Below are 17650 nucleotides of genomic sequence, written 5' to 3' on the forward strand. Positions count from 1 at the left end.
AGTTTTCTGTTTTTGCTTAAAAAGAATACATGATCTTTATTTTTTAGATCTATGACATCCAATTAACCAATTGTATCTGTTTAATTCAAGTAGTCTAAATGCTCACTAATATTATATGTTTAATACATTTAGTTTCTCGGACAGATATTTTAAAATGTCATTGAGATTATACTTGTAAATCTTTTTAGTTTTGCTATATAAATTTCAAAAGAAAAATGTGTTCATGCAAGTTCAGTATTGTAATATCTTTTGTTTTTCCTTTTCTGATTTTGCAAAATTTCTCTCCAACCCTAAGGTTTTTTCCTGAAAATTTTTGTTTGATGTTAATATTGCTATACCAACAGCATGTTGGTTGGTGTATTATAGTATATTTATTTATTTATTTTCAACTTTTCTGTACTACTTTAAGCATTTTTTTTTTTTTGAGACAGAGTCTCACTCTGTCACCCAGGCTGGAGTGCAGTGGTGCAATCTCAACTCACTGCAACCCGGGTTCAAGTGTTTCTTGTGCCTCAGCATTCCAAGTAGCTGGGATTACAGTTACACACCAGCATGCCCAGCTAATTTTTGTATTTTTAGTAGTGACGGGGTTTCACCATGTTGGCCAGGCTGGTCTGGAACTTCTGACTTCTGGTGATCTGCCTGCCTCGGCCTCCCAAAATGCTGGGATTTCAGGTGTGAGACACTGTGCCCAGCCTAAGCATTTTTATAAGCTATGCTTGTCTGAATTTTACTTATGTAATTCTTAAATAGATATATTATTTATACAATAACTAGTAGTTTATATGTAATCGTTTAGTACATTAACATATCTTATGATTACAGATAATTGTGAACCCTTATTTGTCCAATCTTTTTATATTTTTGTTTACCATTCTTTTTATTCTATTTCTCTTTTCATATCCTACTCTCTGTTGGATGGTTAAGTCTTCCTTAGATTTCTGTGTTTCACATACATGTAACTTTGCCACACATATTCTCTAAAAAACATTTTTTAGTGTTTACTCTTCAATGTTTAATATTAACATTGACAAAGTCTTAAATTATTCAATACATCTTTTCTCTACTCAAATAACAGGAAATTGACATCCTTTAGCAACCTTCCAACCCCTTTGCAATCATCTTCTAAGACTTAAAGTTAATTGTACTTTTTCTTAACTTAGAAGCCTTTCCAATAGCATTTACTGCTATTTTTGCTCATGGTTACTTATTGCATGATATTTCTCTTTTTGCATTCATTTCCTTCTTGCTACAGAATATCTTATAGTAATGTTTTAGCAAGAATCTCTTAATTCTAAAGTTTCAGGTTTGTATTTCTGAGAGTGTCTCATTTCTTTCTCACTCTTGAATGATGCATAGCTAGCTAGGATAATTTCCTCCTGAATACAGGCCAAAAAGTTAAAATTTATGCTGGAAAAACATTTTTAAATCATTTTGGAAGTCCTCAAAGTGATAAAAGAAGAAAAAATATCCACAAAGTAAGAACAAAATTTATTTTTTAAAAAGCATACAAATACAAATATAAATCAAAACCAGATAAAGATTGTTTAAAGTATTGATTATTAATTTTGGAAATGAAAATATCTACATTAAAATTAAATTATGAGATGCATGCCAGTTTAGGCAAAGACACAGAGAAAATAAGAGAATTGAAAGACTATACTGAGGAATTAACCCAGACCACTATGAAGAAATATAAATAGGTAAAAAAAAAAATGTGAAAGATAAGAGAAGAAACATGAGGGATAGACTGACATGTAATGGAAAGTTTATGAAGTAGAAGATATAGGTAATGACAGAAAGGTAGTATTTGACGTATGATGCAGTTTGGCTGAGTCCCCACCCTAATCTCATCTTGAATTCCCACATGTTGTGGGAGGGACCCAGTGGGAGGTAATTGAATCACAGGGCAGGTCTTTCCTGTGCTGTTCTCGTGATAGTGAATAAGTCTCATGGGATCTGATGGTTTTAAAAATGGGAGTTTCCCTGCACAAGCTCTCTTTTTGCCTGCTGACATCCACCTAAGATGTGACTTGCTCTTCCTTGCCTTCCAACATGATTGTGAGGCCTCCCAAACTATGTGGAACTGTAAGTCCACTAAACCTCTTTCTTTTGTAAATTGCCCAGTCTCAGATATGTCTTTATCAGCAGCATGAAAACAAACTAACACAGTAAATTAGTACCAGTAGAGTGGGGCGCTGCTGAAAAGATACTCGAAAATGTGGAAATGACTTTGGAACTGGGTAACAGGTAGGGGTGGTTGGAACAGTTTGGAGGGCTCAGAAGAAGACAGGAAAATGTGGGAAAGTTTGGAACTTCCTAGAGACTTGTTGGATGGCTTTGCCCAAAATGCTGATAGTAATATGTACAATAAGGTCCAGGCTGAGGTGGTCTCAGATGGAAATGAAGAACTTGTTGGGAACTGGAGCAAAGGTAAGTCTTGCTATGTTTTAGCAAAGAGATTGGTAGCATTTTGCTCTTGCCTTAGATATTTGTGGAACTTTGCACTTGAGAGAGATGATTTAGGATATCAGGCGGAGGAAACTTATAAGCAGCAAAGCTTTCAAGAGGTGACTTAGGTGCTGTTAAACGCATTCAGTTTTATAAGGGAAATGGCATAAAAGTTCAGAAAAATTGCAGCCTGACAATGCAATAGAAAAGAAATCTCATTTTCTGAGGAGAAATTCAAGCCAGCTGCAGAAATTTGCACAAGTAACGAGGAACTGAATATTAATCTCCAAGACAATGGGGGAAATGTCTCCAGCCCATGTCAGTGGTCTTCATGGCAGCCCCTCCCATCACATGCCCAGAGGCCTAGAAGTAAAAAGTGGTTTCGTGGGCCAGGGTGCTGTGTGCAGCCTAGGGACATGGTGCCCTGTGTCCCAGCCACTCCAGCTGTGGCTGAAAGTGGCCAATGTAGAACTGGGTCCATGGCTTCAGAGGGTGCAAGCCCCAAGCCTTGGCAGCTTCCACATGGTGTTGAGCCTGCAAGTACACAGAAGTCAAGAATTGAGGTTTGGGGACCTCCCCCTAGATTTCAGAATATGTATGGAAAAGTCTGAATACCCAGGCAGAAGTTTGCTGTAGGGGCGGGGTCCTCATGAAGAACCTCTGGTAGGCCAGTGTGGAAGGAAAAATGTGGGGTCAGATCCCCTACACAGAGTCCCTACTGGGGCACTGCCTAGTGGAGCTGTTAGAATAAGGCCCCTGTCCTCCAGACCCCAGAATGGTAGCTCCCCCGACAGCTTGCACCGTGTGGCTGGAAAAGCCACAGACACTCAACAACAGCCCATGAAAGCCATGGGGAGGGAGGCTGTACCCTGCAAAGCCACAGGGGTGGAGCTGCCCAGGACCATAGGAAGCCACATGTTACATCAGTGTGACCTGGATGTCAGACATGGAGTCAAAGGAGATCATTTTGGAGCTTTAAGATATGACTGCCCTGCTGGATTTTGCACTTGCATGCGGCCTGTAGCCCATTTGTTTTGGCCAATTTCTCCATTTGGAATGGCTGTACCTATACCCCCATTGTATCTAGGAAGTAACTAACTTGATTTTGATTTTACAGGCTCATAGACAAAAGGGACTTGCCTTGTCTCTGATGAGACTTTGCACTGTGGATTTTTGAGTTAATAATGAAATGAGTTAAGACTTTGGGGCAATGTAGGGAAGGCATAATTGGTTTTGAAATTTGAGGAAATGAGATTTGGGAGGGGCCAGGGGAGGAACGATATGGTTTGGCTGTGTCCCCACCCACATCTCATCTTGAATTCCCACATGTTTTGGGAGGGACCTGGTGGAAGGTAATTGAATCATGTGGACAGGTCTTTCCTGTGCTATTCTCGTGATAGTGAATAAATCTCACAAGATCTAATGGTTTTAAAAACAGGAGTGTCCCTGTACAAGCTCTCTTTTTGCCTGCTGCCATCCATGTAAGACGTAATTTGTTTCCCCTTGCCTTCCACCATGATTGTGAGGCCTCCCCAGCCCTGTGGAACTGTAAGTCCAATAAACCTCTTTCTTTTGTAAATTGCCCAGTCTTGGGTAAGTCTTTATCAGCAGTCTGAAAACAAACTAATACAAGGTAACAGTGGCTGACCATTCTGAATTTAAGAAGGAAACCTGCTTGTTGAATTTGTGACTGTCTTTCATGGAATTGATTTCCTCTTGTACTTCGGAATCTTAATTTTAAGCCCACATGTATAGGGAATTTCTTGGGATGTTTTATGTTGCTATTGTTGTTGTGATTTGGGTTTATTTATATGTGTATTTGTTTCTCTCTTCTGAGTCTTAACTTCTGAGTCTGTGGTTTTATAGTTGTCTCTAAACAGCTCACAGGTATGTACTTCAGACACAAGTATTACAATGAATGCTTAGGGCCTTTGTCTCTTGAGATCACCACAAACACAGTCTCTGTCAATGAGCACTTTGGCCTGGGTTCTGATTACCTCCTTTTCTCTAGTCAACCACTCAATACTAGCTGCAAAGGTAGCCTTCAAAACTTTTCTAATTACTGATCATGACTGTATCTTGCCTCTGTTTGATGTCTTTAATCTAACTCCTGGTGCTGTGTGAGCCAGCCTAGTCACTGCTACCACACAACGTTGATTCCCAGCCTCCTCTGCTTGCTTCCTGGTCCCAGAGCCCAGTAGGTCTGTGACTAGAGCCTCTAGATACTGAGCTGTGTTTCTGTTCTGTGAATCACAAAACCACCTTGAGCTAATATTGATTTGACTTTTTAGAAGTTTTTCTGATACCTTAGACTATCCTCTATTTTCCTCAGAAATGGTTAATTAAAATCAAAGAAACTGATTCCCACATTGCCTTACTTGCTGTGACTGTAATGATAGAAAAATATTTTCTCTTAAAAATGTGTACTTTACCAACATGAATAGTAATTAATATTGCCCATTTTGCTACATGTGAAATGTTCTCAGCTTGTCAGCTCCCCACTGGTATGCTTGGCACCTCTGGTCCACAGATATAATTCAGCGTTCTACATGAGTTAGTTGTGATAATTCGCAAACTTACTATGTTAGCAAACACACTTCTTATGACAATTGTGATCTTTAATTAAATAGTATGCACATTGATAAAATATGAGTGACAAAAGAAAAGTAACAAAAACCTAAAAGATATATCTGCTATTTTTTTAATCATGTTCCACTCTAGAGTACTAAACTGGAAATCATAGATTAAATTCTGTGTATGGTTTGTGCTACAAAGAATAAACAGAAGTCTACAAATTTGTCCTCTAAGAAAAGATCTTTACGTAAAAATATTGTAAATAAATGTGCAGTTATATGTCTTAAACCAAAATAAGATATTCAAAGAGACACTGTACCTACATTTCATGATTCTTGGCTTTAGCCAGGTTTTTTGATTATCCAACTAGATATCAGTCCTAATAGCTTTTATTCTAATATCAGTCCTAATAGCTTTTATTCTATTTCTGCCACCAACAGAAAAGTATTGGAAGAAAAAGAAATCAGAGGACTTTGCCCCTTTATGAAGACAAAAAGAGATAAAATTAATCCAATTTGGTAATAAACCATTTTTTAACCTCGAATATAGTTATTATACAATTTCTCTGCCCAAATATATGTATTGAGAAACAACAATCTGTCAGCAATGTGGTTCTTGTAGTTGCAATGTGTTTTGGGATTAGTCTTAATTGGAATTGTGTGTTATGGATCCAAACAACATGCATTCAGGAAAGAACAATCATTCCACCTGCTTGGGGAATCAGTACGTAAGAGCAAGCGTGTGAGAGCCTTGTGGAGAATTTTTGCTCAGTGAACAGTTAAAGTGAGACTCTAAGGAGCTATCCCCTTTAAACTAGCACTGTACAGTAGGCACTGGCTCATTGCCACAGGGTAGCCTTTGCAGGACATCTTGGAGAATATCCTTATGATTATTTTTACCTTAAAAGTAATCTATGCAGGATTTAGAAAGATATGTAATCCCTTGTATATTTCACCAAAATAGAGAGAGAGAAAGAAAGGAAGTTTTTAATTATGTTTGTTTTGGGTTTTCTAGATAGGACTAATATTTATGTAAGCAAAATATATTTGCTAATTTTGTTAACTTTTTTTAATTTCATAAAGTTTATTCTTAGGGACTATGAGATCAATGTAGCAATTTGTAACATTTCTGGAGTTGTTTTTATTTAATTTTATGACCTCTTCAATTTATATACTACAATATGTAATCTATACAATATCGAGTGTCAGCAAAAATGTAGAGAAACTGGAACTTTAATTTGCCGCTGATGGGAATGTAAATTGGTACAGCTACTAATAAAAAGTAAAGTTGAAGGTATATATTTCCTTCATTCCCAGACTCCTAGGCACATGTTCATGTCCTAGAGAAACTTTCACATGTTTCTCTATTCTACAACATTCCTGTATATTCCAGGAGTCATCCACAAGAATGTTTACTGCAGCATTAGTAAAAAGATTGAAATGAACTTAAAAAATTGACATCAAAAGAATGGATAGATAAACTGTGATCTATTTACACTAGGGGACCCTATGTAGCAGCTAAATGACTGATCTAGAAGTTAAAAAATGTACACTATGAATCACTTTTATGAAGTTTGAAAATACACATCATATATGTGTTGCTTACACACATATACATACATGTTCACTTGCATTTATATTACGTGTAAGTATATGTGCACATATATGTATCTTTGTAAATACATATACACTTACACAGAAATTTTTAAAAACACATTTAGGACAATTATTTCAGAAGAGGAAGAGAAATGGGAAAAGGGTTCAGGAATTAGTACATAAAGCTTTTAAACTGTATCTGTAATGTTATCTGCTTTAAAATGTAAAAGAAATACTAAGGTAAATTGTCAAGGCGGTATGATTTAGCAAAAGTTTATAATGAGTTCTGGTATTTCCACTAAATTATTTCTTTACCTTTCTGTAGAGATAAAATACTTTGTAGCCAAAAGCTATTGCATTAAGTACCCCATAGCTCATGTGGATTCTACTCCAGGAAGTAAGGTCCAACTGGAATCCTTTCTTTGATGATGCATTTTAATTTTTTTTCATGTGGCATTTTAATCCTTATCAGGTGTTTACTTTCAAGATTGACTGCTTGTTGAATCTTTTGATAAATTGAAGATATTCCAGAGTTAGTGAAAAAAATGTAGTTTTCCTTGTACGGAGACAAATAATAAATGGAAGCCTTCTATTCATGGCTCCCCTTGTCACAAGGTACATAGTGCCACGAACACTAGAAAATAAAATTTCCATTTTAGAAGCTGCAAAAGGTGACAAGAATAAAACCAGGCTACAACCCCACCCCCAGTGCTTCTTTGAGAAGCACAGATGAGACACCAACAAAATTGACCACATTATTTTAAAGTCTGCTGTGAATATCTCAGGTTGTTTGGATCATTTAGATTTATGACTAGAAGAAAATTAAATTCAACTTAGAGAGACATTAATCTGCTATCGAGGATCATGAAGAGTAAATGATATTTCCCAGGCAATAGATGTTTTTCTCATCATTTTCTCTAATACCATTTCTTTTTATTTGGGGAAATTTTAATATCAACATTTCAATTAAACTCTAATACTCCCTGCACTAAACTAAATTGAGAGGATCTTGACTGTGCTATTGAACATTTTATCTCCATACTTAGTATAAAATAGGCTTATTTACATTTTCTCTATTCCTGATTCAATTTTAACTATAATCCACAACAGGAGAGATATAAATGCCTCTATAATACTTCACTTCTCACATACATGATTTTAACTCTTTTCGAGCACTATATTTACATAATTCCTAAGATTATTTTCCCAATAGCAAAACCATTTTTAAAGCTCTGGTGATTCTGCTTTACTAGCTCAAGAGGAAGCATATTTTCAAAAGTATAAATATAGAGAAGTTAATGATAAATTATACGAAGGGAACAAAATTGTGATTCCAGAGATAAGGTGAATAGCAAGCCTTCACCTTCCAGATACAAAACCTATATGGTGCATAGGCTGATGGCAGGAACTGTGTCTATTTAGATGACAGCCGTGACCTGTACTCAGGTCTTTGGGACTCTCCATCCAGTCTTAGTCCTTTGGAGGTTGTAGTATCTTCTTGCTGGATCAAAAGAAGCTGAACTCAGCTATGTGGGGGCAGCTCTCCTGAGCATTTCTCCTTTTTGACATAAAGTGGTTTGATTCAAGGAGAGAAAATGATACTGTGCACAGGCCTAAGTTAGTCTTTGAACTTTAGTTCTGTTCCTCACAAGGCTAAATTCTTTGCTAACTCTGAGGCAAAAAGACTTCTTTTTTGCCAGGTTGTGCTTTCAGGTTGATGCCCGATTCCCTGGAGCACACCAGTAAAATTGAAGAAGCATTGAAAAGTTCTGTGTAAGTACCAGCTTCCCTGTCATTTGAGTCACTGCTATCACTAAATCTATAAAACTGAAACTTTGTACAAGTACCTAAAATGTTATTCTTTGTGTTCTCATTTGGAAAAAATAAATGCTGACCTAGCAATTGTAATTAAAATATTTGTTACTAAGCTGGGTGAAGATGCAAAGAAATCAACTGAATATTTTAGAGCACACAGTATGTGTTATCTCATTTAATGCGCATGCAAACATTGCAAAATGTTATCCTTTTTGTAAAGTTATGTTATATAACTTGACTCAGTTGCTTTGTAACACAAAACTTAGATTAAGTGCCCAAATATTTCCCACTGTAAAACAGAATTTAATCCACTGTGTTATCCTGCTTGCTGCACTAGGCTTTTAGTGATTGAGAAGAAAAGCAAAATAATTATATTCCCTTCTATTCATTGATGAAATACCTAATATTTTTAACAGCTTCATAGGTTTATGAAGATTTTTTTCAGACAGGATTCCATCCACCCTCAAGAAGGCTTAAAGTCATATTGAAATAAATAAGGTACAGTGACTATGGCACAGTAGTGGTATCAGATTTACCCTTTGATTGAAAACAATTCCAAAAGCCAGGTTAACTAAAAAACTGCGGTTTGAACAAATTATACAGGAATCAAGGCATCAAGGATTTGGAGAACTGAAATCCCAAGTTCCTTAAAAAATGACAGCCTCAGAGAAATGAGCCCAACATTCTTCATGCAATTATCACTCAATATATTTGCCAGTTCCTAAACGGCGTATATGCAGTATGAAATGCCAAGACGAAGCAGAATACAGCTGCTAAAAGACTATAAAAATAAGCAGCAATTTCTATAATTTCACCATTCTTAGAAGACAAAGATTATAATTCAAAATTCACTGACAAGGGGAATTGACTACAACTTGAGTTGTCTGTTAAGACCTACAAAATGCTCTTCCATAGGAATGAGGACAAATTGAAAATGTACACCTCACAAAAACGAAGATTAAAAGGTGAAATAAAAAATGTACAATCCTGGTTGAATGTTGAGTGTTTCAACAGTCCTCCATGTTAATTGACAGAACAAGCAGAAAAGTTTACACACACATTAGTGTGTATTTCTGTATGTGTGTGATGTGCATATGCATATTTGTGTGTATATGTGTGTACGTGTATACTTAAGACAGAGAAGCTATGAACCATAAAATAACCAAATTTACATAAGCAAAATATGCACAGTATTGTATCTAAACATGTAGAGTTCATGTTATTTTAAAGTTCATATAGAAAATTTACCAAAATTGACCATATCCTGGTCCATAAAGCAATAATCACCAAATGTAAAAGGATTGAAATCATACAAAGTATGTTTTCTGACCACAATAGGATTGATCAAGAAATAAATATCAAGAGAATAACGAAACAACTTGAAGTGAATAAAAGATAAATATCACGGGTCAAAAAAGAAATTTAACTAGACAATATTTTGAAAATATGACATATTTTAGCTCATAGAATATAGTGCTTAGAAAGAAATTATAATATTAAATCTTTTAAAAAATCAAGACTGAAAAGTATTATCTAATTTTATCTGAAGAAGCAAGAAAACATTGTTTAAAAAAGCAGAAATTAATAAAACCAAAAACACATACAATGGAGAAAATTAACAAATGCAAAGGTTGGCTGCTGAAAATGAATAAAAGTAATAAATTCTTAGCAAACTGATGAACGCAAAGAGACAAAATAAAAATTACCAATATTAGGAATGAAGACACATTACTACAGATTCTACAGACATTAAATGATAATACAAATATATTATGAATAACTTCATGTCAAAAAGTATGATACTTGGGATCAAACAAATTCCTTAAAACATGTAACTTATCAAATCTGACACAAGAAGAAATCGAAAATCTAATTAGCCCTGTATCATACAATGAAATTTAATCTGTACTCTAGAAATTTTACACAAACGTAACTATAGGTCTATATAACATTACTGATTCATTTCACTAGTGTTTAAAACAAAGACCAATGTTGTATAAAATACTCTGGAAATTAGAAACAGAAAGCATTTCCAAGTATTCAAGGAGGCTATATTACTTAATACATAAAGATGTCAAGAATATAAAAGAAAAGAAAAGTTAATTAAAATATATGGGAGGTTGAAACTGAATTAAATTGAATTATTTTTTGGTACAAAAATACCTCAGAGAGCAATTAAAGAGAATATAAATAGAATTAGAATGTCATGAATTAGGAAGCTTAATGCTACAAAGATGTCAAGTTTCCCCAAGCAATCTTGATGCTCAATCCAGTCTCATTAAAAGTTTCAGTGCAAATTATTGAGAAAATTTACAAATTGATTACAAAATTTTTAAAGAAATGCAAAGGACCTTAATGAGCAAGAAGAATTTTGAGATCAAACAGAAATAGAAGACTTTTTCTAACAGCTAGCAAGACATTATGTAGTAATTAATAATATTAGTGAAAGGATAGATAAATAGACTGAGAGATACAGGTCCATATATATACAGTCATGTGAATTACAACAATTTAGTGGAAGAAAGGATGGGAAAAAACTATCTTTATCCCCATCTCACGCTATATACAAAAATCAATTCCAGAGTGATTGTAGTCCTAAATATAAAATAAAAATTCTAGAGGAGAATATCTTAATGATATTCTTAATACCATAGGAGATGACATTAATGATGTTAATATAAGCAAACAGATTTAAATGACACAAAGGCATCTAGAAAACATTTATATAAATTAGGCTTCATTAAAATTAAGAACTTTTATTAATCAAAACATACCATCAAGACAGTGAAAAGGCAACGCATATAGGGATCACAAATGTTTGCAATACATGTATCTGACAAAGACCGCATATTTAGAGCATAGAGAGAACAACTACAAATCAATAAGAACAATGAGCAATGACTTTAACAACCACTTCACAAAAATATATTGAAAGGACCAATAATCATGTTGATATGTTTAATATTAGTCATCAAGAAAATACAAATTTAAAAATCATCATAAGATACAACCATACACCCAACAAAATGCATTTTTAAAAATATGTGAAAGTTGCAAGAGATAACAAAAATATGGGGTGATTGAAAGTTTTATAAACTATAAGTTAGAATGAAAATTATAAAGCATTTTGGAAAATTCTTATACATTGTCTTCTAAAACTTAACATATCTGTAACTTGACTCATATCGTAGGTATATGCACAACACAAATGTATATCCATATATATGTATATATTAAAAAAATACAGGCTTACCTTGTTTATCATGCTTTACTTATTGCACTTTCAGATACCGCATTTTTTACAAATTGAAAGTTTATGGCAACCTTGCATCAAGTATCTTTTGGTGCCATTTTCCCAACAGGATATTCTCACTTCTTTTCTCTGTGTCACATTTTGGTAATTCTCAGAATATGTGAAACACTTTTAATTATTATTATAGCTGTTATAGTGATCTGTGATCACTGATCTTTGATGTCAATATTGTAACTGATTTGGGGTGCCATGGACCACACCCATACAAGACAGCAAACTTAATCAACAAATGTTGTATGTGTTCTGACTGCTTTACCAATTGGCCATTTCTCCCTCTCTCTTTCTCTCTTCAGGCCTCTCTATTTCCTGAGACACAACAATATTGAAATTAGGCCAAATAACAACCCTACAATTGCTTCTAAGTGTTAAAGGGAAAAAAAGGAGTCACACAGATGACTTTAAATCACAACCTCACTTTAAATCAAAACCTAGAAATGATTAAGCTTAGTGAGAAAGGCATGTCAAAACGCCATGTTTTGGCCTAGTGAGATAGGCCAAAAGAAGTTAGGCCTCTTGTGCTAAACAGCCAAGTTGTGAATGCAAAGGAAAAATTCTTGAAGGAAATTAAAAGTGCTACTCCAGTGAACACAGGAATGATAAAGCAAAACAGCCTCACTGCTGAGATAGAGAAAGGATTAGTTGTCTGAGTAGAAGATGAAGTCAGCCACAAGATTCCCTTAAGCCAAAGCCTCATCCAGAGCAAGGCTGTAACTCTGCAATATGATGAAGGCTGAGAGGATAGGAAGCTGGAAAAGAAAAGTTGGAAACTGGCAGAGATTGGTTCATGAGGTTTAATGAAAGAAGCCATCTCCATAACATAAAAATGCAAGGAGAAGCAGAAAGTTCTGTTGGAGAAGCTTCAGCAAGTGATTAAGAAGATCTAGCTAAGAAAATTGATCAAGGAGACTACAAAAACAGACTTTCAGTGTAAACAAAATATCCATTTATTGAAGAAGATCCAATCTAGGACTTTCATAGCTAGAGAGGAGACATCAACGCTGGGCTTCAAAGTTTCAAAGACAAGCTAACTCTGTTGTTAAGGGCTGTGATGGTTAATACTGGGTGTCAACTTGACTGGATTGAGGGATGCCTAGGTAGCTGGTGAAGTATTGTTTCTGGCTTTGTCTGCGAGGGTGTTGCCAGAGGAGACTGACATTTGAGTCAGTAGACTGGGAGAGGAAGACTCACCCTCCATGTGCATGGGCACCATCCAACGTGCTGCCAATGTGGCTAGAACAAAGAAGGTGGGAGAAGGCAGATAAGCAGTTTGCTGAGTCCTCTTGCTCTCTCTCTCTCTCTCTCTCTCTCTCTCTCTCCCCCCCCACCCCCCTTCCTGTGCCAGACACTTTTCTCCTCTCCTCCTGCCCTTGGACATCAGACTCCAGGTTCTTTGGCCTTTAGATTCTGGGACTTGCACCAGTGGCCTCCTGGGGGCTCTCAGGTTTTCAGCCTCTGACCAGAGCTGTACTGTTAACTTTCCTGATTTTGAGGTTTTGGGACTTGCAGTGAGCCATGCTACCAACTTCTCCCCTTCCCCAGCTTCTTACAGACAGCCTGTTGTGGGACTTTGCATTGTAATTGAATTGTGTGAGCCAATTCTCCCTAATAAACTCCATAGAACATACACACACATACACACACACACACACACACACACACACACACACACACACACACACACACACACACGAGATATATCTTAAGACCCTTTAGAATTATGCTAAATCAACTCTGCCTTTGCTCTATAAGTGAAAAAACAAAGCCTGGGTAACAGCACATCTGCTTTCAACATGGTTTACTGAATATTTTAAGCCCACTGTTGAAACCTGTTGCTCAGAAAAAAAATATTTCTTTCAAAATATAACTGCTCATTGATAATCCACCTGTTCACCTAAAAGTGTTGATGATGATGTACAAGGGGATCGATGTTTTGAAAGATGCTAACAAAACATCCATTCTTCAGCCTATAGATCAATAAGTAATTTCAATTTTCAAGTCATTATTTAATAAATACATTTCATAAGTCTATCGCTGACAAAAAGTAATGATTCCTCTGATACAGCTTGCCAAAGTAAATTGAAAACCTTTTGGAAAGGATTCACCATTCTAGATGCCATTTAGAATAGTCATGACTCATGGGAGGGGGCCAAAATATCAACATGAACAGGAGTTTGAAAGAAGTTGATTCCAGCCCTTATGGATGACTTTGAGGGGTTCGAGATTTCAGGGGAGTAACTGCAGATGTGGTAGAATTAGAAAGAGAACTAGAATTAGAAGTGGAGTCTGAAAATGTGGTTATATTGTTGCAATCTCATGATCATACTTCAATAGAAGAGGATTTTGCTCATATGGATGAGCAAAGAAAGTGATTTCTTGAGACAGAATCTACTCCTGGTGAAGATGCTGTGAAGTTTGTTAAAATGGCAACAAAGAATTTAGAATATTATGTAAATGTAGTTAATAAAGCACCAGGAAGGTTTGAGAGGACTGATTTCAATTTTGAAAGAAGTTCTACTGTGAGTAAAATGCTATAAAACAGCACTGCATGCTACAGAAAATATTTCATAAAAGGAAGAGTCAATTGATGCAGCAAACTATACTGTTGTCTTTTTTAAGAAATTGCCCCAGACACCCCAACCTTTATCAACAATCACACCAATCAGTCAGCAGCTATCAACATTAAGGAAAAACCCGGGATGCCAAAGAGATTATGACTCACTGAAGACTCGGATAATCGTGGACCTTTTTAGCAATTTAAGGTATGTACATTTTTTTACACATAATCCTGCCGGGGTCTGACCTGCAGACCCAGGCTGCACGACAGATGAATAACATACTCAGACACCAATATTCAGTGAAAGAGCAGGCCAGGGAGCCAGGCTACTCACAGAAAGAGTTGTGGCAGCCTCACCCTAACTAGCTAGCCCTGCTGGCATTTATTCAGCACAGAGTTAATGACAAAGGCTTTGAGTCAACACACCTGTGGGTAATTAATCTGGTCACCCTCCCCGGGAAAGAGCAGTCCTAGGAATGATCAAAGGTCAGTCTTAGGACCACATGAGTAAACAAACTCTTTAGATAAACTCCCTTACATTCCTTTGTACCTACTCTAAGCTATGAACTCAAGGTAAGAGGATTAGGCTGCTTTCAGCCATAACCCTATCCTGAGGCTTTTGTAAACCCTTCTGGCCTTCCAAGAAAGTTTGCATTTTTCCTATAATTTTACAATTTCTCCAGCCACCCTGACTGAACTCCTATATTATCCTATTGCATACTTAATAGACTACAGTAAGGAGTAAACATAATTTTTGTATACTGGAAAACCAAAAAATTGTGTGACTCACTTTATTGAGATATTTATTGTGATGGTCTGAAACCAAACCCACATTATCTCATATATATGTATGGCAATGTGAAAATTTTACAGAAAAATTGTTTGTGAGCCCCAAACTGGAACCTATATGTTTGCCTATCACTTTTATTAAATGGATGTATTAGTTCCCAAGTGCTTTCATAACAAAGTATCTCAAGTGATTTAAAACAACTGTATTGTCTCAGTTCTGGAGGCCTAAATTTGAAATCAAGGTGTCATGCAAGGCCACACCCCCACTGAATCCTTTAGGAGAGAATCCTTTCTTGCCTATTCTCCATTCTGGTATTTTTCCAGCAATCTCTATTGTTCCTTGACTTGTAAAATGCATCACTCCAAGCTCTACCTCTGTCATTACAGGTCAATCTTCTCCTTGTTTCTATTTCTGTCTGAATCTTTTCTTCCTCTTCTTATAAGTATACGAGTTAGATTAGATTAGGATCTACTCTAATGACCTAATCTAAACTAATTAAATTTGCAATAATCCTATTTCCAAATAAGGTGACATTTTGAGGTAATGGAGGTTAGGACTTCAACATATCTGTTTGAAGTTCACAATGCCACCCATAACAATAGATAAATAAATTTTCAGTGTAATATTATGCATAAACAGAAAATAACTTCGGATACATGGTTGAATTTTAGTAACATAATGTAGAGTAGAAAGAAGATAGACACAAAATCAATCTATGAGCCTTACTATAGGATCACATTTATATAAGATTTGGAAAATACAAAATGAATCTACCCAACAGAAGTCATAATAGTGGTTATCTAGGAGGTAATAACAGGGAAGAAGCATGGTAATATCTTTATATGGGTACTGATTTCACAGGTGTATTCAGTTTGTAAAAACTCATTGAACTGTATAAGATTTACACATTTTATACTATATTTTATCAAACAAAAATTAACAGAAATATTACATTATATATAATTGTGAAGCTTACTTTAACAGATTGGTTATTAAAATTTTTCAAAGTAGATATTAGTGATAACTAAACTGTTCATTTTTATTATACAGTGTACTTCACCTATTAACTTACTTTAGTAACTTTGAGGTTCTTTATACAAGTACACATTTTGAAGTTTATTTTTGTACTGCACAAAAACGCATTTGAAATGTTACTTATATAAAATTAAATGAAATTATAAATGATTTATATTGATAGATTACTACTATTCATAGAACATGAACCGGGTGCTAAGCTTTTCAAAGACATCTTTATTTGGGTGTAATTGAAATACAATTAACATGCACATACTGAAAATATACAGTTTGATTAATTCTGACATGAGTATACACCCAAAAAACCATCATCATGACAAAAATAGTGACCATATACCTCACTTCCAAAAGCTTCCTCTTGCCCCCTTGTACTTTCTCCCCTAATATCTCCCCATTCACAAGAACCTCTGATCTGCTTTCTGTCTATACATGAGTTTGCATTGTGTAGGATGTTATACAAATGGAATCGTAAAATATGTTTGCTTTTTCTATCTGGTTCCAGCATAATTATCTTAAAATTTGTGCATGGTGTTTAATATAACAATAATTTACTTCTTTTTATTGCTGAGTAGCATTCCATTTTATGAATATATCACAATATGTTTAAGTGCTCACATGTTAATGTACACTAGGTTGGTTCCAATTTGGGGATGCTACGACTATGGCTTTCAATGGACACGTGTCTGTGTTCATTTTGGCCAAGTACTAGGATGAAAACACTGAGGTCTATGTCTAAAAGTTTTTAAAAATTGCCAAAATGTTTTCCACACTGGTTGTACCATTTTATAGTCCCACTAGCAGTACATGAGTGTTCTAGTTGTTTCACGTCCTTGAAAACACTTGGCATAATCATACTTTTAAAACATTCTAATAGGTGCGTAGTGGCATTTCATTGTGTTTTTTATTTGTAATTCACTAATGACTAATGATGACTATATATACCATGTATTCATATGCTTATCTGCCATCTGTGTATGTTCTTTGGTGAAGTGTTTGTAGTGTAAAAGGCTTACCCATTCTGATTGGGGTTTCTGTTCCCATTATTTCTGTGTTTTGAGAATTCTTTATATATTATAGATACAAACCCTTCTTCAAATATGTGATTTGCCATTATTTTCCCCGAGGCTACAGCTTCTCTTTTTATTTGCTTAAAAGTCTCTTTTGAAGTAAAAAGTTCTTAATTCTAATTAAGTCCAACTTATAAAACTTTACTTTTATTGATCATGCCTTCGGTGTTATACCTAAGAAATCTTTGCCTAATAAAAGTCACAAATATCTAGCCTGTGTTTTCCTCTACATGTTTAATAATTGTATATTTCAAAATTAAGTCTATATGGTGCAAATAATATAACAAGGTTTGTTTGGGATACATGTCCAGAACATGCAGGTTTGTTATATAGGTATAGATGTGCCGTGGTGGTTTGCTGCACTCATCAACCCGTCATCTGCACATGTATACCAGAACATAAGTATAATTTAAAAAGAGGAGTAACCATACCCTTAATGGAAATAGTTTAAAACAT

Source organism: Homo sapiens, chromosome 3 (genome assembly GCF_000001405.40).
Source record: "Homo sapiens chromosome 3, GRCh38.p14 Primary Assembly".
Classification (NCBI taxonomy): domain Eukaryota; kingdom Metazoa; phylum Chordata; class Mammalia; order Primates; family Hominidae; genus Homo; species Homo sapiens.